This window comes from Homo sapiens, chromosome 12, assembly GCF_000001405.40.
Source record: "Homo sapiens chromosome 12, GRCh38.p14 Primary Assembly".
Taxonomy (NCBI): domain Eukaryota; kingdom Metazoa; phylum Chordata; class Mammalia; order Primates; family Hominidae; genus Homo; species Homo sapiens.
Genome location: NC_000012.12, coordinates 97,184,482 through 97,207,951, shown reverse-complemented (window position 1 = coordinate 97,207,951; position 23,470 = coordinate 97,184,482). Strand labels below are relative to the sequence as shown.

General features: G+C 39.4%; 2 long non-coding RNA genes across 2 annotated transcripts in view; one reads left to right on the top strand and one right to left on the bottom strand.

The window, feature by feature from the left end:
• LOC105369927 (uncharacterized) overlaps nt 1–13,919 on the top strand; it is a 35,878-nt gene extending 21,959 nt beyond the window's left edge. The window contains exons 2-3 of the long non-coding RNA XR_945249.3: nt 13,196–13,258; nt 13,831–13,919. This is a non-coding gene — a long non-coding RNA (uncharacterized LOC105369927). The remainder of the gene's footprint in view (nt 1–13,195; nt 13,259–13,830) is intronic.
• The window catches only part of LOC105369928 (uncharacterized), a 33,018-nt gene extending 10,146 nt beyond the window's left edge, over nt 1–22,872 (bottom strand). Inside the window, exons 1-2 of the long non-coding RNA XR_945250.4 lie at nt 22,595–22,872; nt 21,168–21,239 (exon numbers count right to left, since the gene is read on the bottom strand). This is a non-coding gene — a long non-coding RNA (uncharacterized LOC105369928). The remainder of the gene's footprint in view (nt 1–21,167; nt 21,240–22,594) is intronic.
• Nucleotides 22,873–23,470: the final 598 nt, after the last annotated feature.

The following is a 23,470-nucleotide window of genomic DNA, read 5'->3' as shown; positions in this document are numbered from 1 at the left end:
AAATATGTAAATTGCTTTTGGCAGTATGGTCATTTTCACAATATTGATTCTACCCATCCATGAGCATGGGAGTGTTTCCATTTGTTTGTGTCATTTATAATTTCTTTCAGCAGTATTGTGTAGTTTTCCTCTTCATCTCCTTGGTTAGGTATATTACTAAGTATTTTAATTTTTTTTCTGTAGCTACTATAAAAGGGGTGGAGGTCTTGATTTGATTCTCAGCTTGGTCACTGTTGGTATATAGGAGAGCTACTGATTTGTGTACATTAATTTTGTATCCTGAAACTGCTGAATTCTTTTATCAGTTCTAGGAGCTTTTGGATGAGACTTTAGGGTTTTCTAGGTATACAGTCAAATCATCAGCAAACAGTATGATTTGACTTCCACTTTGCCAGTTTGGATGGCTTTTATTTCTTTGTCTGATTGCTCTGGCTAGGACTTCCAATACTACGTTGAAGAGGGTGGTAAGATGGGCATCCTTGTCTTATTTCAGTTCTCAGAAGGAATGCTTTCAACTTTTCCCCATTCAGCATTATGTTGGCTATGGGTTTGTCATAGGTGGCTTTTAATACCTTGAGGCATGTTCCTTGTATGCCAATTTTGCTGAGATTTTTAATCATAAAGGAATGCCAGATTTTGTTGAATGCTTTTTCTGCATCTATTGAGATAATCATGTGTTTTTTTGTTTTTAATTTTCTTTATGTGATATATCACATTTATTGACTTGCTTATGTTAAATCATCTCTGCATCCCTGGTATGAGATCCACTTGATCATGGTGGATTCTCTTTTTAATATGTTGTTGAATTTGGTTAGCTAGTATTTTGTTAAGGATTTTTGCATCTGTGTTCATCAGGGATATTGGTCTGTAGTTTTTTGTCTGTTTGTTTGTTTTTTGGTTATATCCTTTCCTTGTTTTAGTATTAGGGTGATACCGGCTTCATAGAATGATTTAGGGAGGATTCCCTCTTTCTCTATCTTGTAGAATATAGTGTCAATAGGATTGGTACCAATTGTTTTTTGAATGTCCAGTAGAATTAAGCCAGAGTCCTAGAGTTTTTTTTTGTTTTGGCAATTTTTTTTATTATCATTTCAATCTCACTGCTGGTTATTGGTCTGTTCAGGGTATCCACTTATTCCTGATTTAAGCTAGGAGGGTTTTATATTTCCAGGAATTTATCCATCTCTTCTAAGTTTTCTAGTTAATGCACATAAAGGTGTTCATAGTGTCCTTGAATGAGTTTTTGTATTTCTGTGGTGTCCATTGTAATATCTCCCGTTTCATTTCTTATTGAGCTTCTTTGGATTTTCTCTCTTCTTTTCTTGATTAATCTTGCTAATGGTCTATCAATTTTATTTATCTTTTCAAAGAACGAGCTTTTTGTTTATCTTTTACATATGTTTTGTTTGTTTCTTTGTTTGTTTCAATTTAATTTAGTTCTGGTCTGATCTTGGTTATTTCCTTTCTTCTGCTGGGTTTGGGTTTGGTTAGTTCTTGTTTCTCCAGTTCCTTGAGGTGTGACCTTTGATTGTCTATTTGTGCTCTTTCAGACTTTTTGATGTAGGCATTTATGGCTATGAACATTCCTCTTAGCACCACTTTTGCTGTATCCCAGAGGTTTTGATAGGTTGTGTCACTATTGTCATTTAGTTCAAGGAATTTTTTAAATTTCCATCTTGATTTCATCTTTAACCTAATGATCATTCAGGAGAAGGTTATTTAATTTTCATGTATTTGCATGGTTCTGAAGGTTCCTTTTGGAGTTGATTTCCAGTTTTATTCCACTGTGGTCTGAGTGAGTGCTTGATATAATTTCAACTTTCTTAAATTTATTGAGGCTCGTTTTGTGGTCTATCATCTGCTGTATCTTGGAGAAAGTTATATGCGCTGATGAATAGAATATATGTTCTGCAATTGTTGGGTAGAATGTTCTGTAAATATCTGTTAAGTCCATTTGTTCCAGGGTAGAGTTTAAATCCAGTGTTTCTTTGTTGACTCTCTGTCTTGATGACCTGTCTAGTGCTGTCAGTGGAATATTGAGCTCCCCCACTATTATTATTGTATTGCTGTCTATCGCATTTCTTAGGTCTAGTAGTAATTGTTGTATACATTTGGAAGCTCCAGTGTTTGGTGCATATATATTTAGGATTGTGATATTTTCCTGTTGGACAGGGCCTTTTATCATTATATAATGTCTCTGTCTTTTTTTAACTGCTATTGCTTTAAAGTTTGTTTTGCCTGATATAAGAATAGCTACTTCTGCTCGCTTTTGGTGTCCATTTGCATGGAATGTCTTTTTCCATCCCTTTACCTTAAGTTTATGTGAGTTCTTATAAGTTAGGGGAGTCTCTTGAAAGCAGCAGATAGTTGTTGGTGAATTCTTCTCCATTTTGCAATTCTGTATCTTTTAAGTGGAGTATTTAGGCCATTTACATTCAATGTTAGTATGAGATATGAGGTACTATTTCATTCATCATGCTATTTGTTGCCTGTATACCTTTTTTTTTTGTACTTTGTTTTATAGCTTCTATGAAATTTATGCTTTAAAGAGGTTCTGTTTTGATGTGTTTCCAGGATTTGTTTCAAGATTTAGAGCTCCTTTTAGCAGTTCTTGTAGTGCTTGGCTTTGTAGTGGCAAATTCTCTCAGCATTTGTTTGTCAGAAAAAGACTGTATCTTTCCTTCATTTATGAAGCTTAGTTTCATTGGATACAAAATTCTTGGCTGATAATTGTTTTGTTTAAGGAGGCTGAAGACAGGGCGCCAATCCTTTCTAGCTTGTAGTGTTTGTGCTGAGAAATCTGCTGTTAATCTGATAGGTTTCCTTTACAGGTTACATGATGCTTTTGCCTCACAGCTCTTGATTTTTTTTCTTCATCTTAACTTTAGATAGCCTGATGACAATGTACCTAGGTGGTGCTCTTTTTGCAATGAATTTCCAAAATGTTCTTTGAGCTTCTTGTAGTTGGATGTCTAGGTCTCTAGCAAGGTCCAGGAAATTTTCCTCAGTTATTCCTCCAAATATGTTTTCCAAACTTTTTTGTTTCTCTTCTTCCTCAGGAATGCAGATTACTCTTAGGTTTGGTCATTTAACATAATCCCAGACTTCTTAGAGGCTTTGTTCATATTTTCTTATTCTTTTTTCTTTGTCTTTGTTGTATTGGGTTAATTGTAAAACCTTGTCTTCAAGCTCTAAATTTCTTTCTTCTGCTCGTTCAAGTCTATTGCTGAGACTTTCCAGAGCATTTTGCATTTCTATAAATGTCTCCATTGTTTCCTGACGTTTTTATTGTTTTTTATTTATGCTATTTCGCTGAAGATTTCTCCCCTCATTTCTTGTATCATTTTTTTTTATTTCCTTAAATTGGGCTTCACCTTTCTCTGGTGCCTCCTTGATTAGCTTAATAACTGACCTTCTGAATTCTTTTTCAGGTAAATTAGGGATTTCTTCTTGGTTTGGATCCATTGCTGGTGAGCTAGTGTGATTTTTGAGGGGTGTTAAAAAACTTTGTTTTCTCGTATTACCAAAGTTGGTTTTCTGGTTCCTTCTCATTCGGGTAGTCTCTGTCAGAAAGAAGGTCTCGGGCTTAAGGCTGTGGTTCAGATTCTTTTGTCACCTGGAATGTTCCCTTGATGTAGTATTCTCCCCCTTTTCCTATGGATGTGGCTTCCTGACAGCTGAGCTATAGTGATTGTTACCTCTCTTCTTGATCTAGCCACCTAGCAGGTCTACCAGGCTCCAGGCTGGCACTGCTGGTTGTCTCCACAGAGCCCTGTGATGTGAATCATCTGTGGGTCTCTCAGCCGTGGGTACCAGCACCTCCTCTGGTGGAGGTGGCAGAGGAGTGAAATGGACTGTGTGAGAGTCCTTAATTTTGATTGTTTAATACACTATTTTTGTGCTGGTTGGCCGCCTGCTGGGAGGTGGTGCTTTCAAGAGAGCATCAGCTGTGACAGTATGGGATCACGTGGTGGGTGCAGCCATAGAACTCCCAAGAGCATGTGCCCTTGGTCTTCAGCTACCAGGGTGGGTAGGGAAGGGCCATCAGGTGGGAGCAGGGCTAGTCATGTCTGAGCTCAGAATCTCCTTGGGTGGGTCTTGCTGTGGTTGCTGTGGAGGATGGGGGTATGGTTCCCAGGTCAATGGAGTTATGTTCCTAGGAAGATTATGGCTGCCTCTGCTGTGTCATGCAGGTTGTCAGGGAAGTGGGGGAAAACTGGCAATCACAGGCCTCACTCAGCTCCCATGCAACCCGAAAGGCCAATCTCACTCCTACCATGCTTCCTCCCACGGCAGCATTGAGTCTGTTTCCAGGCAGGGGGCAAGCAGGGCTGAGAACTTGCCCCAGGCTACCAGATTCCCAGCTACAAAAACAAGTAGGGCTTTCATGCTTCCCCACCTGTGGGGTCTGCCCACTGGCTTCATGCCCTCCCCCGAATTCTGGCCAGGAGACTTCTTGTTTGGTTGGAATTGTTACAAAATTCAGCTGAAGGTTTCCTTCTCCCTGTGGCCTTTTCCCAGTACTTCTGGCAGCCCTCCCCAAGGACCTCTGAGAGACAAGGCAGAAATGGCTTCCTAGGGGACCCAGAGAGCTGGTGCTCTACATGTTCAGATAAACTTCTCTAGTAAACTATGGAAATGATCCCTGAAAGTATAGTCTTCCAGGAATTTTTGATATAACAGCTCAACCAATCCTAAATATCACAGCCATACAGTAAGAGATTTTCTACATCTATGCACAGGTCATATGGCCCATTCTTTGTTCTTCCCCTGGGTAAACATGGAGCAGAAGAGGCATTCATGTCTTGTTTGATTAGGAATTTAAAAATACTTTTTCCATATATAATTATTCCCTGTGTAATAGACTTACCATTCCCTAGGTCTATGTAACCTCTCAGCCTCAGTAAAACTCTAAATGAAACAAAATTTGCCTTCTACCCTTCCAGCATTTTAGTCCCCCAAGAAAATGTGGTTGCAGGTGCCTTAAGAACTTTTTCCAGAAAACATACTTGCAGTTTTTCTAAGCCTTAAAAATTTAAACCAGTGTTTCTCAAAGAGTTGTCTCAGGTCTGCATCAAAATTACCTGGGAGTATTGTAACTCTGAAGAGTAACATGGAGTCTTGAGCCTTGAATTCCCTCAGTCCCACTCCCCAGAGGTGGAGCATCTGTGGTTTAGAAGCTCTCTAGGTGACTGTAAGGAACAAAAAAGCTTTGGAGTCCACTGCTTTCAAGTACACACTAGAGGCCATTTTGGCTACCCCTCAGGTCACCTCTCACTCTACAGAGATACAGTTACCTCCCACCCATCTTGCTGAAACCAGAGCTTCAGAAATTCTACTGCCTTTCGGCTCAGAGTGTGGACCATGGACTAGCAGCATTGACATTCCTGGATGGTTGTTAAAAATGTCCATCTTGGGCCTCACTTTAGATCTACCAAACAGGAATCTGCATTTTAACAAGCTGTCCACGTGATTCCTAAGCATGTGAGTATGGGGAAAGCACTAAGCTCCAGCACTGTGCCTTCTCTTGCAATACAACAGAGCCCTCCTCCATTCCCATGGCTTGGCTAAGGACACAACTTACACTGCACAAACCTGCCACTGAGGAGGCCAGTGGTGGAATCATTTACTGAGCATCTATTGAGGGCCACAGACAAGATAGTGGGAAGATGTCTGTAATGGTTAATTTCATGTGTCAGTTTAGCTAGGCCACATCATCCAGATATTTGGTCAAACACTAATCTAGATGTTGATATGAAGATTTTTTTTAGTTGAGATTAACATTTAAGTCAGTAGATTTTGAGTAAAGGAGATTATCTTCCTTCCATGATGTGGGTGGGTCTTATTCCATCCACTGAAGTATATTAAGAGAATAACGACTGACCTCTCCTGAGGAAGAGGAAATTGTGCCAGCAGACAGCCTGTGGAGTCGAGCTGCAACATGGACACTTCCCTGCGTCTCCAGCCTTCTGCCCTACCCTGCATATGTTGGACTTGCCAGCCTCCACAATGTGTGAGACGATGCCTTAAAATAAATCTCTCCCTGTCTCTGTCTCTCTCTCATATATAATATCACATATTTATATCTGCCTATCTATATCTATCTATCATCTATCCATCTCTCTGTCTCTATCTAATCTCCTATTGATTCTGTTTCTCTGGAGAATCCTAATATGCTACAAAACCAATGCAAATCTTTATCGCCACGCACTTTTCTCATCGCATTCTTCCACTTTTCCCTATCACCTATGGAATAAATCCAAAACTCCTTAGCATGAAATTCAAGGTCTTATCTTCCACACACTGCCACATTTCTGTCTCATCAGGCTACTCTGTGTTTCAGACCAGCTTTCATGTCTCTGCTTGTTCCATCTCTCCCTGGCCTCCTCCTGAAATCCTTCTCATCTCTGACCCACCTTCACTCATCAAATACAAACACACAACTGTTTGTTGAATGTTATCTGCCCCTTCCCACCAGCCTCTTATCGCCATTATGCTCTGAAAGACCTGTGAATAATTATTTATGAAATATATTATCATGAGATTAATGTATATCCTATTCTCTCACTAGACTTCAAGTCCCTTGAAGGCAGGAAATATGTTTTATTACATATTTTATTTGTTTACATGTATTCCTCTTAGTGTCTATTCAGTAAAATTTATTAAATGAATAAAACATTGTTGTATGTTTGATTTATTTATTGACTTATTAAGTGTATTGTAAATACTAAACGTGGAGAGGGTCTATGTTTGTTGGTTGGTTTGTTTACTTTGTAACAGAAAACATCACAACAAGAAGACTAACGCTCTCAGAGATTGCTATTGTGTGGAATATCTAAAATAGAATTCTTCTTCCTTTATTCTTTGTGCTCTCTTCCTGCTTTGTTTTCCTTTGTAGCATTTTCCACTATCTGGCATTTCATTTATGTGCAGTGTTATCTTTTTATCACTTATCTTCTTCCTCGAGAATATAGGCTCCATGAGAGTGTGGACTTGTGAGTACTTAATAAATATTTTGAATGAACTCATTTATCTTTGAGCATGAATGCATGGTCAAGTCAGGAGTGTCTGTCCACTAAAAATAACAAAAACATTTACATACCCAAGTGGAAGACGTTGAATATGAATATTCAACTGTAGAATGGTGAAAAGTCAATCTTAACTGATTTTGGCTTTTTTTCTTGGGTAACATAAGAGGCCGGCCTTGGATAGAGGTTCTCCAACTTAATTTTTATTATCAGAGTCCCTTTCTCAAAATCAAATGTTACATAAAACGATAGCAACCCTGTTGAAGGACTGTCTGCCCTGAGGAAGAGTGACTTTTTCTGGCTTGCACAAAGGGCTCCATGTGGACTAGCAGTGGCCCCTCATGGAGCTCTAATACATAAATCAGATGAAAACGATATTTATTGCTCTGTTAAAACAGGGATGAGGAACCTTGTTCTTTGGACGTCCACCTTATCATTCCCTTGTGGTCCCTAAGGCATCTTTGGGGAAAATAGGACTTCATGAAAAGCACTTTGAAAATCACATTATTCAGCGCCTCTGGGGAAACTTCCGGCTCCAAGCATCATTAATCAGTTGGAACTTTCAGCCTAAAATAACTGAGGACTAAGGAGGTGTAAAGTTTTGATAGAAACTGATGTGGCACTGATTTCATAGAGAAGCGAGACAGGGAGGCTGACAGCATCTGTAAGCATTTAGATTATAATGGAACCAGGGGCAATAAGCAGCCTGGATTTTGAGATTGAACCAAGCTGGGAAAACCTAATTGCCTTTTTTTTTTTCTTTTTAAAAAGGGAGTGAGAATTGCATGTTAATAAAGGAGAGAGAGAAAACGAAGATGTAACATAACCCAATTTTGGTAAAGCACTTAATACAGTATCTAATAAAGTCTTACTTGCAAAATGAATTCAAATTGAATTAGATTTGGACTCTAGCATTCTGTACAGGCTGAAAGCTGAGGGCTGGTGACATCGAAACAAAGGATAGATGCGATGTATCACATTACAGAGGTGTCTCATAGCCCTGCCCCAGGAATCAATGAAACTCTAGTGTTAGTTAACAGCTTCAGTAATGATCTACACTATGAGACAAAAGAGTATCTTAATGAATGTTATTGAAGAAACTGTGGAGAGATGCTGCGAACTCCAGTCTCAACCGAGAGGTTTGCAGTGAGAAAATAAATATGCAGAAACAACTGGGAAGAAACAGCTTAGGCACTGATATTTGGGGGAAAATGCTTTGCAAGATTTTGAGGAAATGCATTTCTTAAGCCTTATAAAATAGCATTCTTGGAGATTTGAATAAAATAAACATTTATGGCAACCATGAAATTAAGGTTATGCCTAACCTATATGCCCAGGGCAATTCCTTCCCCCAACAAAGCAAATATATAAGTAAATAACCACAGGGCATTATAGAGTAGCAACTAGATAAAAGTCACTTTTTACCTTTTCCACTTTTGCTCTTTTTTTTTTTTTTTGATGGAGTCTTGCTCTGTTGCCTAGGCTGGAGTACAGTGGCATGATTTCAGCTCACTGCAACCTCCACCTCCCAGGTTCAAGCAATTCTCTGCCTCAGCCTCCCAAGTAGCTGGGATTACAGGCACCCACCACCAAGCCTGGCTAATTTTTTTGTATTTTTAGTAGAGACAGGGTTTCACCATCTTGGCCAGGCTGGTCTTGAACTCCTGACCTCATGATCCACCTGCTTCAGCCTCCAAAAGTGCTGGGATTACAGGTGTGAGCCACCACGCCCAACCACTTTTGCTCTTTCTTTTGGCATGTTTGTGGCAGAACTCTGGTATAGGATTGCTACAAAGAACAATAGAAAGGGATTTAGTTAACTAATTAATTTTATTTTAGAAACAGGGTCTAACTCTGTCACCCAGGCTGGAGTGCAGTGGTGTGATCATAGCTCACTGTAACCTCAAACTCCCAAGCTCAAGTGATCCTTCCACCTCAGCCTCCTGAGTAGCTGGGTCTACAGGTTCACCACCATGTCCGGCTAATTTAAAAAAAAAAATTTTTCTTAGAGGCAAGTTCATGCTATGTTTCCAGGCTGGTCTAGAACTCCTGGCCTCAAGAGATTTTCCTGCCTCAGTCTTCCAAAGTGCTGAGATTACAGGCATGAGCCACTGTACCCAGCAGGTTTAACTGGTTCTTGGTTTTGTTTACTAAAGGAGATGACATTAGCAGATACAGGCAGCATTAATAAAGCCTTGCACCTTGCCTTCTTTCCCCTGCCATCCCAAAAAAAGAACTTCAGTGACTTCTAGATTTTTTTTCAGAGGAAGGTGGAAAAGACTCTAAGAATTCACATGGTGTCAAAGTTGAATAGTTCCCCTCCATCACTGCCCCCCAAACCAGTACTGCACAGAAAAAAAAAGCCAACACATATTCCATGGTAAAGTAATCAATTTAACCTTTTTTCTTTTTGTCATTTCTATGTAGCAGGATGCAAAGCAGAGTCCTTAACCTTAGGAAGTGCATGTTCTAGTGGGGAGAGAGCCAAAAACATAACATTGAAAGAAACAAGTGTTCACATCTCCATATGAGATGGGAGCATAGGAGAAAACAGGGACATCTTCATGGAGGAGGAAGCAATTGAACCATGACTTGAAAACTCAATAAGCATTCCCCAGGCTATCAATCAGACAAGAGAATGATGGGGAGGCGAGTGGCAGTAGGAGCAAGAAATGAGGCCAAAATGGCAGAAGGCACCAAATCATGACTAACCTTAAAAGCTATTCAAAAGGGTTTTCATTTTATTCTATCTGTGTTGGGAAATCATTGGAGAATTTTGCGTCGGAGGATGACATTATGGTAACAGCCTCCTAACCATTTGTTTCTTCTGACTTTATCCTCCTACAGTCCGGTCTCAGCATAGCAGCCAGACTTATCTTGTTAAAATGTAACCTAGATAATGACATCTGCTCAAAACCTCTAAAGGCTTCACATATCAGAGAAACAGAGGCCTAGGTACTTGCTATGATTGCAAAGTTCTCCATGATCTGGTTCCCAGTCACGCCCTTACCTCTTCTGGTTCTGCTGTCCCCCTTTTGCCTGTTCCACTTCTCTCCAACCACCAGAAAATGCAAGGCACAGTTCCACCTCCAGAACTTTGTGCCTGCTCTTCCTTCTTGTAACACCTGTCACTCAGATCCCGCATGTTTCACTACTTAGTCCTCTAAATGTTATCACCCAGTGAGTTCATCTTGCCTACTGCACAGATAGGGCCAATTCATGGCAGTATTGCAGTGAAGAAACAGAGTAAACACAAGACCAGCCAAGCAAAAGGACAGGAGTTTGGTATTACTCAAATCAGCCTCCCTAATAAATTCAGAGGCTAAGGTTTTTATGAATAATTTGGTGGGCATGGGTCTAGGGAATGGGTGCTGTTGATTGGTTGGGGATGAAATCACAGGGGTGTGGAAAACAGTCCTCTTGTGCTGACCTGCCTTTGAGTGGGGCCACAGTAATGGGTCCAGGTGGAGTCAGTCAGTTGTTAGAATGCAAAAGTCTGAAAAGCATCTCCAAAGACCAATCTTAGGTTCTATTAGGTAGATGCCATTACTTCTAATGACAAAAACTGCAATTACTTGTGCACCAACCTAATGTAATGGTGATGTTATCTATATGAGCAATTGGGAAAGTCACAAATCTTAGGATCTCTGGCCATATGACTCCTGAGCAGTAAGGGATTATAGAAAAACAAAATAGGGGACAATGGCTGGTTATCATTTAGCTACATCTATATCTTTGCAAGTTCAGGCCACTCCCTTAACTCTAATCTTGTGGTCTTTTATCAGCCTTACAAAGGTAGTTTCAGTTGCCAAACAAGGAGGGATCAGTTTTATGGGGGGACTACTATCATTCTTGCTTTAAAGTATAACCTAAATTCCTTCCATGGTTAGCTTGGCCTACAATGAGGAACGAACAAAGACAGCCAGACTGTGAGGCTAGAAGCAAGATGAAGTCAGGTATGCTACACTCCTCTTGCTGTCATAATCTTTGCAAAGGTGGTTTCATCAACACCCTGCCAAAATGCCACATTTGCAGTGAAACCACCCTATCTAAAACTTCATCTCCCTCCCCCAGCACTCGTATTTCCTCCCTTGTTTTGTCTATTTTATGAATATGTATCATTTTCTTTTTTTTTCTTTTTTTTTTTATAGAGACAGGGTCTCCCTATGTTGCTCAATCTGGTCTTGACCTCTTGGGCTCAATGGATCCTCCTGCTTCAGCCTCCCAAAGTGCTGGGATTTTAGGCATGAGCCACCATGCCCAGCCTCACTTTCTAATATACTATATTACTTATTTATGTATTTTATCATCTCCTCCTACTAGAAAATAAGATCCATGAGGACAAGAATTTTTGTCTTTGTTCAATTCTACAAGCCCCATGGCTGGAATAATTTCTACACATAGTAGATCCTCGATAAATATTTTTGAATAAATGAGTAAATGGATGAACTAAGGAAAGATAGAATAAAGGAGGCTGCAGGGAGACCTTTTAAGAGGCTATTGTAATTCTGAGGTAGCCTTAAACAAGGACAATAGACATGGAGGAAGAAAATTGGAAATGGGTACCAGAGATACTTAGGATGTAGAATCAACAGAAATTGAATTATAGTGAGATTAAGAAGATAGGAAGTATTCGGGAAGAATGATTCCCAGGTTTCTGGCTAAGGCAGCCAGGTACGTGATAATGACATTTGCCCAGATAGGGAACATGGTAGAATAGGAAAGAAAGGGAGAAGATGATGGATTCAGATTTTGATATGCTGAGTTGGAAATGTCTGATGGAAATTTGGCTGGATCTAAAAGTTGTCTGTTGGATATTCATGTTTTAGAAAGACAATGGGAAGTGCTGATTTTTGTTTCTTTTTCCAGAATCTTCTCTATGCAGCAGAAACTCCAAACAAAGCTACTCTTGCTCCCTGCAGCCAGCTCTGAGTTGCAGAAAGTAGCAAAGCCACTCATAGCACCAGTAAAGGAAAAACTGTTTTTCTATACTCACAACACTTCAGACCCCAAATGTGTGGGCTTTCCACACCAAGCAATTCTCCAATTTTCTAATGACACCAACTAAGTGCCCTACAATTTAACTCAATTCTGACACTAATTACCTGTGGTTGGTACAGACTTCACAGATTAAAGGCTCAGTCCCAAAAGACTGTCCCCCACTTGAGAAATCAATTACAAGTCCCAGGTTGTCACCTGTACTTCTGACCAACTGGCTATAAATCAGGGATTCCTATAACCCTTCCTCATGTTCAATACCTTGCTATAACTGCTCACAAGCATCAGGGAAATATTTACTTACGTTTACTGATATATTATTGTTAAAATAAAAACCTTAGACAAATTAAATTTAACACAGTTTAATTGAGCAAAGAACTATTCATGAATTGGGCAGCCCCCAAACCAGAAAAGGTTCAGAGAGGCTCTAGCAGCATCATGTAATGGAGCAGATTTATAGACAGAAAAAGGAAAGTGACATATAGAAAATAGAAGTGAGTTACAGAAACAGCCAGATGGGCTAGAGCTCAGTGTTTGCATTATTTGAACCTGGTTTGAACAGTTGGCCACCTCTGATTTGCCAAAACTCAGTGATTGGCACAAGAGTGTGGTACAGTTAGTTTACACATCCAGTTAGGTTACAGTTTACTATGTACAGAGAAAGCTTTAGGCTGAACTTAAAATATGTGAGGCAGCTTTAGGCTAAACTTACTTTAACAACATAAAGGATATTGCAAAGGATACAGGTGAACAGCTAAGTGGAAAGAATACACAAGGCAACATATGGGGGAGGGGTGCAGAGTTTCCACACCTTCTCTAGGCATGCCACTCTCCCAGCACCTCACTGTGTTCACTGACCTGGAAGCTGTCCAAGCCCCACTGCTTAGGGTTTTTATGGAGGGTCCTTTACGTAGTTGATTAAATTATTGACCTCAATCTTCAGGTTTTTTCCCCCTCCCTGGAGGTTGGAAAATGGGGCTGAAAGTTTCAACCCCTAATCACACAGTTGGTTCCTCTGACACCTGGTTCCCATCCTCCAAGTGTTAACATCAACTCACGTGTGGTTGGAAAGCACTTATTATGAATAACTAAGAATGCTCCTCTCACCCCATCACTCAGGAAATTCCAACGGGAGACTAAACATATATTTCTTATTATGTCACCACCAGACAGGAGGCCCAGGTGGTGAAGGGCAATGAAAGAAGCTGAGAAGACCAGGCATGTGAGTATGTGTAAGTATGTGCAAGAGCCGTGGCCTATCCCCATTCATTCATTCACGAAGCTGAGAGGAGGAGGAAGTGCTGCTGTATCTTTGGCACACAGGTAACCAGTGAAGAAGCCCAGATGATTGATATCCACTCTCTGCCCTGGGAACTTAACAGTCTGGTCACGGGACTCTCTTGGTTTCCTTCATGTTGATGTGCACCAACGTAAAGGAAACTTGGGCCTTCTGGTTGAGATAAATTTCTGGATAGAGATATTTCTGAATATATAATTTTAATCTTATGAAGAGAAATGATAAATGATCATCCTCTGAATGCATAAGGTTGAGAAATGCCATTTTAAAACATGACTAGGAGACCAGAATATGCTACTAAAGCTGTCCTCACAGGGTTAACAAGGATTCTGGACAGAAATATGGTTATAATTAAGCATTTATCAGGCTGCACTTTGGCCTGCTTCCTTGTAACCAAAAGTCATGGAGCACTAGATGCTGACCACTTGCATCCCCATTGTTTCTGTAGACAGGATTTCTGATATGCTTTTGTTTAAAAATTCCTTAACATATTTTTCAAATTCTAAGTTTCAGCTGATGACAACCAGTTTGAAGACCCCCAAAAGAAGAACCAAACTGCATGAGAATTCAGTTTCTTCATCTCCCTACCCCATGATTTCACCTTGTTCTCTCTGACCAATAACCATCTCCCCACTTTGGCCCTCTCCAAAACCCTTAAAAATTCTAAGCCCAAACTCCCCAGGGAGACAGATTTGAGGTTTCCTCCCATCTCCTCATTCAATGGCTCTGCAATTAAACCTGTTTCTCTGCCGCAGCCTGGTATCTCAGCATATTGACTTGCCACGTGCATCAAGCAACAAACCTTTTACTGTTATACTACTCAAAATATGCCTCTTTGGAATGAGGACTATTTTGAGCTGGTTATTTAGAGAAACTGCAGACACACACAAAAAAACTCTGAAATGAAGAGTAGAAGTTACCCTATTGTAAGAGAAATTTACAACTATAAAGGAAATCTCCATTTATAAGGGTGTTTCCCTCTCTCCATCAGGAAGAGAAGGATGACTAAATCACTAGAAAAACCCATCAATGGAAAAAGCATCAGTTTAAATCTCCATAACAAATCTTACTCTTGTTTACAGTGTTTTTTCCTGGCCACCTACCTATAACTGGGACTTTCCCCCAAACTCTTCTTACTTTGTTTCAAGGGATGATCATATTTAAGCCTGAAAAGTAATACAACTCTTCGAGATCTACTCTTTATAGTTACTCTTGGAGAATTTATTCTTTGAGATTTTCCTATGTATCTCCCATGTATATAGGGTATACATGTTATTAAACTTCCCTTTATTTTCCTCTTGTTAATCTGCCTTTTGTATCAGAGAGCCTCAACTAAGAATTTAGGAGGGCAGAGAGAAAATTATTTTTCCTCTCTGTTACAGAGTTAATTAAAAAGTGGGTTGAACAGGCCGGGCGCGGTGGCTCACGCCTGTAATCCCAGCACTTTGGAAGGCTGAGGCGGGCAGATCACGAGGTCAGGAGATCGAGACCATCCTGGCTAACACAGTGAAACCCTGTCTCTACTGAAAATACAAAAAAATTAGCCGGGCATGGTGGCGGGCGCCTGTAGTCTCAGCTACTCGGGAGGCTGAGGCAGGAGAATGGCATGAACCTGGGAGGCGGAGCTTGCAGTGAGCCAAGATCGCACCACTGCACTCCAGCCTGGGTGACAGAGCGAGACTCCATCTCAAAAAAAAAAAAAAAAAAAAAAAAAAAAAATTTTGGGTTGAACAAACTCTAAGAAACATACTCTTACCAGGAGTGACACACACACACACACAGTCACATGTCAATTAACGACAGGGATATGTTCTGAGAAATGCATCATTAGGTGATGTTGTCATTGTGTGAACATCAGAATGTACTTACACAAACCTAAATTTTATAGCCTACTTACTACATACCTAGGCTATATGGTATAACCTATTGCTCCTAGGCTACAGACCTGTATTACATGTTACTGCACTGAATAGGCAATCATAACACAATGTTAAGTATTTGTGTATCCAAACATAGAAAAGGTAGAGTAAAAACACAACAAGGTATAAAAGATAAAAAAAAATGGTATACCTGTACAGGGCACTTTCCATGAATGAAGCTTGCAGGATTGGAAGTTGTTCTGGGTGAGTCAGTGAGTGAGTGTTGAGTGGACATAAAGGCCTAGAACATTACTGTATGCTGCTACAGACTATAAACATTGTACACTTAGGCTACACTATATTTATTTAAAATATTTATTTAAAATATTTTCTTTCTTCAATAATAAATTAACCTTAGCTTATTGTAACTTTTTAACTTTATAAATGTTTCAATTTTATTAACTTTTTGACTTTTTGACACCTTAAAATACAAACACACCGTATAGCTGTTCAAAATTATTTTCTTTCTTTATATCCTTATTCTATAAGCTTTTTTCTGTTTTTAAATTTTTTAACTTTTCAACTTTTTTGATAAAAACTAAGACACACAAACACATTAGCCTAGGTCTACACAAGGTCAGGATTATCTAGGTGTCATTAGACAATAGAATTTTTCAGCTCCATTATCATCTTATGGAACCACCATTCTATATCCAGTCTTTAATCAAAATGTCATTATGTGTTATGTGAGAATACATCTACATTCTAGCCATTGAGTTAAGGAGTTTCTTTATGAAGGATCATGAAATACTATACCACCTTTGAACAACTCAAGGCTATCTTGACACTATGGTTCCAGGCAAAGACACAGCCACTAATTTACACAATATAGTACTTTCTAATCAAAGTATATTAAGTAGAGTGAATTTATATTACGTGCAATGTTTGTGTTACCAAAACACCAGGGGTTTGGTCTAGGTCCTTCTGCTCACTGCACAGAAAGCCAATCACTGAGACAACAAGTATTGCCAAAGAAGAAGGCTTTAATTGGGTGCTGCAGCCAAGGAGATGGGAGCTCAGTCTCAAATCCATCTCCCTGGCTGACTAAAACCAGAGATTTATATAACAGGCAGGAAATGTAACAATGTGTAAGAAAGCAGGAACTTGGGAGGGGCAAGGAAGCAATCATGGTGAATGAGGGGTCTGGCATTTGGTGCCACAATCTGGTTTTAGGTCTCTGATACTTTATGTGAGAGGCCTAAAGGTCATTTCCTGAGGAAGGAAGTCAGATAAAACAAATACAGGTTTCAAGCTTTTTAAGACCAGAAGGGTCAATTTCTATGTTTATCCAAAACACAACTGTCTATGGGACTATTGGGCCCATTTCATTTGAATAAACCCCAAACACTTTTCTTTGCATTCATACAAAGTTGTGAAGAGACTCCATCTTCTATGACTTTCCATTATGTTGTGTATGATCTCTATGTGTTAAACTCTTTCATGTTCAGGCTTGATTTTGCCCTAAAGGTTTTTATGTGCCTTTACTTCATTTGTACATGCAGCTTGAAAGCAAGATACACTGCAGTCGCAGAAGGTTGTTTGCCTAGAAACTGACCACCTGACTCTCTACCACCTTCAAAAGACCCTCTCCCTCTCCCCATCCACCTTTCTTCTCTTGCTTCATTACATTACATATTTTATATATAAATGGTATTTATTTCAACTTGTTTTTTAATTACAGGAACTTGTCTATATATATTGCTCAATTGATAATTTTTTTTACCTGTAAATATTGTTTGGACATTTTGGGTTAGGTGGAATGCATCACAATTTTTTTTCCAGATAATATTAATAGGAAAATATGTTTTATTTAATAACTGTTCATTTAGCAACAGAGTTTTCAGAAACAAAATTGTTAAATGAGAGATGGGGGTTTTTGGTTTATCTTTTAGTGTTTCTTTTTTGCAAATATAAGCAAATAACTACTTGTAATTAAATAAAATTATATCAACAACCTGGTCTTTATTTTTTGGTTTGGGGTTTTCTTAAAGTGAAAATTACCTCTTGATTCCTCCTCATAGTGCTCCTTTTGTAGGTACTGTTAGGTTTCACTTGAAAACTTCTGCGCATCTGCCCCAGAGGTTCTACCTCTCTAAATCGTTTTTCCTTTGCTGGGGGGATCAAAGCAGCGGGGCAGCTATAACAGGGCTAAACATGCTCCTCTGGATTGTCAGTAGATTCAATTTTCTCCAAGAAGTCCAGCCCCTAGCTAAGCTGAGTGACAGAAAAGCCATGCCAAGACAGGAGCTCAGATTCTCAAATGCTTGAGCATTTAATGACTGACAGTGGGAGTCCAGCTGTGTGAAGGGAAGCTGCACAGAGAGGAAGGGGGGTTGTGGAGACAGAGGGAGAAAGTTCTGAAATGGGGTGGGAGAGTGGTAAGGAGAAGCATTTGGAAGAGGATACATATGGATACACACACAAGTACACACACACACAGATCACATGCAAGAAATTAATTAATGCATGGTGCTCACAAATATTTGCTAGGGCAGAAACTTAGTGTCAGATTTGCACCAAGGCCCATGAGACAATATGAAACTAAATCCTAGTCTGCCTTCTTTCTGGGATATATTGTCAAAGATATTTTCCCTCTCATTGGATCCCTAAACCAAATCACTTTAGTAATAAACCCACTAAAAAAAGGAGGCGGTGCACTTACTCAAACCTCAAAATGGAGCATAATAGCTCAAATGTAGCATTAGTTTTACAAACAAGCTTTCTTTCATATGAAATATACTTATTCAAATAGGTCTCAGAGAAGAGCTATGACATTCTTTCAAACTTGATCAGTGTAAAGTGAAGGCTAAACAGGCTTTCTTTAGGATTCAAAGATGACAGTCGAACAGAATAACAAAACACAGACCAGTGTTACTAAAGAACATATTCCCCCACAGCTCATCCTACCCAGAAACTAAAGGCATAGAAACAAATCTTGTAATAGAGACATAAAAATCCAGAAATCTGCACTATCATTGGTGTCATTAATGCTATTTATACCTAACTAAATAAAATCTAACAGAAGAGCTTGTAAACTGGAAGTTAGTTCTAAATGCTTGATTAGGTTAAGGTTAAATATTTGGGTCAAGAATACTTATAGGGTATGTTGGATCTTCATATTGCATCACCATGAAGACACATAAGGTTAGGTTGTTCCAATAGTCAGGATATGTGTTTATTACCCTTGCCACAGCTCCTGATTATAAAAGTATGTCCTCCCTTTGCAATAAGCAATTAACCTGTGGCTTGATCCTTTGGCAACACTTGAATATCCCATACACCAACAACTTTTCACTCAATGGTTTTCATATCCATTTATGATCCTTGTTTAAATCAAGGATTTCACTGGAGGCTGCAGAATGATGATTTTCTAATGCCATCATTTTTCTACATTTGTCTGTCTGTGTGTGGTATAGCGACAGTGTTTGCTTTGGTTGTTGCTGATGTTTTGGTAAAAAAGAGGTTTTTCTCAACAGTAAGGGATGAACTATAGTTCTAAAAACAGAGTAAATCCTTTATTTTATTTTTAGTCATCACATTTTATTTTTAAATTTTTATTTATTTTTATTTACCTATTTTAGATGCAGGAGGTATACATACAGGTTTGTTACAAAGGCATATTGCATGATGCTGAGGTTTGGACTTTTAATGATCCCATTGCCCAAATAGTCAACATAGTTCCCAGTGGGCAGTTTTTCAACCTCTGGCCCCCTACCTCCCGACTTTTGAAATCCCCAGTGTCTATTGTTTCTATCTTTGTGTCCGTGTATACCCAATGTTTAGCTCACACTTATAAGTGAGAACATGCAGTGCTTGGTTTACTATTTCTGCATTAATTCACATAGGATAAAGGCCTCCAGCTGCATCATGTTGTTGCAAAGGATATATTTCATTCTATTTTAGAGCTGTGTAGTATTCCACGATTACATGTACATTTTATTTATTGAATCTACCATTGATGGGTGCCTGGGTTGATTCTGTGTCTTTACTATTGTGAATAGTGCTGTGATAAACATAAAAGTACAGGTGTCTTTTTGGTAGAATGATTTATTTTCCTTTGGGTATTTACCAAGTAATAGGATTGCTGGGTCCAATGGTAATTCTATTTTTAGTTCTTTGAGAAGTCTCCAATCTGCTTTTCATAGGTGCTGAACTAATTTGCATTCCCACCAACAGTGTATAGGCATTCCCTTTTCTCTGCAACCTCACCAACAACTATTATTTTTTGACTTTTTAATAATAGCCATTCTGAGTGGTGTGAGATGGTATCTCATGGTGGTCTCAATATGCATCTCTCTAGTGATTAGAATGTTGAGCATTTTTTCACATGTGTGTGTTGGCTACTTGTATGTCTTCTTTTGAGATATGTCTGTTCATATCCTTGCCCACTTTTTAATGGGGTTATTTGTTTTATTCTAGTTTATTTATTTAAGTTCCTTACAGCTTTTGGATATGAGTCTTTTGTCAGATGCAGAGTTTGCAAATATTTTCTCCCATTCTGTAGGTTGTCTGTTTACTCTGTTGATCATTTCTTTTGCTGCATAGAAGCTCTCTAGTCTAATCAGGTCCCAATTGTCAATTTTTGTTTTGGTTACATCTGCTTTTGAGGACTTGGTCATAAATTTTTTGCCTAGGCCAATGTCTAGAAGAGTATTTCCCAAGTTTTGTTCCAGGATTTTTATAGTTTGAGGTCTTACATTTAAGTCTTTAATCCATCTTGAGTTAATTTTTGTATATCGTCAGAGATAGGAGTCCATCTTCATTCTTCTGCATATGGCTAGCCAGTTTTCCCAGCACCATTTATTGAATAGAGTCTTTCCCCTATTGTTTATTTTTGTTGACTTTATTGAAGATCAGTTGATTGCAGGTGTGTGGCTTTATTTCAGTAGTCGCTATTCTGTTCCATTGGTCTATGTATCTATTTTTGAAATGGTACCATGCTGTTTTGGTTACTGTAGGCTTGTAGTGTAGTTGGAAGTCAGGTAATGTGATGCCTCTGGCTTTGTTCTTTTTGCTTAAGATTGCTTTGGCTATTCAGGCTCTTTTTTCAGTTCCATATGAATGTTAAAATAGTTTTTTCTAATTCCGTGGAAAATGATGTTGATAATTTAATAAGAATAGCATTGAATCTGTAGATTTCTGTAGGCAGTATGGACATTTTAATGATATTGATTCTTCCAATCCATGAGCATGGAATGCTTTTCCATTTGTTTGCATTGTCTATGATTTCTTTCAGCAGTGTTTTGTACTTCTCCTTACAGAGCCCTTTCACTTCACTGGTTAGATGTATTCCTAGCTACCTTTAGGATTTTTTCATTCAAGTCGACCTTGGATAGTCTGATGACTATTGTGTTGGGAATGGTCATCTTGTATAGCATCTTGTAGAAGTTCTCTGGATTTTTTTTTTTATCTGTATGTTGACCTCTCCAGCAAGATGAAGGAAATTTTCCTAAATTATATCCTCAAATATGTTTTCCAGTTTGCTTACTTTCTCTTCTCCTCTCTCAGGAATACCAACCCTGTGATGGGAGAGAGCCTAATTCTAGCACCAACTGCTGGGGCACTCTCCACACTCAATACTTCATTCTGGCTGTGGGAACCCTTTCCCCATTCCAGAGCAAGCACTTTAAATTCTGACCTGAGACTAAAATGCCTGCTGTGGCAGTGGCTGCCAGGTCACCAAGCACTGTCTGACTTTGCATGAGCCCAGATTTAAAATGATGTTCTCCTCTCAGTGCCAGGGCTGGGAAAAGTGCCTGTAGCTTTTCCCAGTGTCTTTCCCTCTCTCCATCTTTCAGTTTCTCCCAAGTTAGCTGTAGGGCTTGAAACAGGGTGCTTGCCCATGTTCTGGGGTACAGAAATCCCTAGTAAAAAGATGAGTCCCAGAGGAAGACTGCCTCTCCCATGTACTGGGGCTTTACTCACATTTATCAGCTGAATGCTGTCACCGGTGCTGCTTGATCACCTTCTCCTCTCAGGGGTCTGGGTTGTCCTTTGCTATTCCAGTGAATTCCCAGTGCCAGAGAAATAGCAGAAACTGTTATTGAGGTGTTGGGGCTCAGAAAACAATACATAAGTGTGGTGTTTGGGCATGCTGAGTACTTTGAATCGAAGGACATTTAAAAGGCCTCAGAAGGAAAGTATCTTTCTGCCCTTCTCCTATCCTCCTTTCTCCTGCTCCCCTTTCTCCACCAAGGCAGGTCATAGAAACTAGAGTTCCTTTTCCCCAATGTCAGCCATAGAAGCTAGAACCCCTCTCTCCAAAACCCAGACATAAACCCTAGAGACATTACTCTAACATTCCCCTACCTTTCTGTGTAGGAGCTGGCCACAAAGACATTCTGTGACCTACACTGTCTGATAGTAGGGCATATGACCTTCATTTCAGAAGGGGCCCTGCCCTATGCATGGGAGGAAGGGATGCCACAGAGAGACCAAGAAGAATCTGAACAGGCAGAACTTGCTTGGTGTCCTGGCCAGTGTATTATCATTAGGTGATACTTTTTTTGTTCATTCACATTTCTACATAGCTGCATTCCACATTGAAACTAAGCATAAAAATGGACAGTTTTCCTGGGTATTTGGGTCTTTATTTCTAAAGCCTTTTGTGTCATGTAAAACTGTGTTTAAATAAAGTGGTTATGCTTTTCTGTTATTACCTGTGTTTTTTTTTTTATAGGAGTGTCAGTCGTAACCCTTATGGTGGGTGAAGAAAGGTATCACACCTTTCCAACCCTGTAGAGGATATCTTCTTTTATTTACCCATTCTGCTCTACCACCTCTGCTGGCACTTTCTCCCAGACGCCTGCATTCCCCTTCCCCCACATACACACTATTCAACTCTAAGAGTTATATGGACTAAATTCTAGGACACTCAGTATGCTCAAGCTACCGAATTGGGCCATGAATCATCTTTGTATGCGCAGGTTGTTCCTAGTTGATGGCAGCTGTGCACCGCTAATGGCCTCCCAAGCATCAGAGCTGCTTTAGTGTAGCAATTATTTGCATTAATCAAAGGCTTCAAGCAAATCTCCCACTTTTGGCTGAATAGTAAAAGTATATATTCATGCTGTGCCCAAATGAGGGATTTTACAGAAAAAGGGATACTTTGGACACATGTGGCTACTGTGGAATTCAGTTTCTAACCAACCTCTCCTTCACAGGTCAATTTTGCTGGAGGTTATTATGTGTATACAAGCTTACTTAACACACGAGAATATAGTAGTATAAGTGCACAGAATACTTGCTAATTAATCGACATTTGAATGGGCTGAATACCACTATTATACCCATTCCAATTCTAGAGGGCTCTCTAAGTGTGGAAATGAGAACTAATCAGCATAGACACACACCTGTTTGAATAGTTCCAGGTGGGATTTAAATGAATCATGCTCAGCCTTGCATCTGAAGGTTGCACTGTCCACGGCGTGAACCCCAGGGAAGTGAAGCTACTTTCATCCTGACATTGTGGATGGTATGGTGTTCATCTTCCAGAGGCTCCAAGGTTCCCAAATAGTGCTTCTGAAAGAACATTGCCAATGTGGCTACGTGAGTCCTCCCTGTCATCCTCAGCGGAGAGAAGACATTGAAATATACCTCAGCACACCAGAAGAGACTTGGAAATCTGAAAGACACTACAAAAGAGGGATTTGAAAACTTAAGAAGACTCCCGTCAAGCCCGCTCAATTTCTCTGAGGTCAAACTAAATTTAAATTCTTTTTAACTATCCAACCAGAGAGAAAAGAAAGGAGAGACTGAAAATTTCTCAATCAGTAAGTGGTGATTTGTTTTTTATGTGCGGTAGGAATATTAGAATAATGAGAAGGAAATTCTGCAGCAATTGAATGCTAAGAAGCCTGCTACACTGAGGCAATATTCATTGAGGAACACAGTGGGTGAGCTGTAGGAAAGAGAGACTCAGCCAAGCTTGGAGAAATCCCTGTCTTCCAGAGGCCTCTGCCTAGGTGCCCCAAGTTTTCTAGCCTATCGGTAGTCAACTTGGGTTATTCCTTTAAATTGCACTCCATTTTTTTTCTAAAATATAAGGACTTACATTTTAATGAAAGGATCATTATCATATTCAAGCATATTCTTTCCCACAGGACTTTAACTATTCTTTGCATATTTATGATTCTGTTGGGCTAAAGCTGAAAGAAATTTACAAATGAACAAAGGAAAGGAAGATGTTGACTTCTGAGAAGGCTGTCATAAAATGCCATTTGTAATTT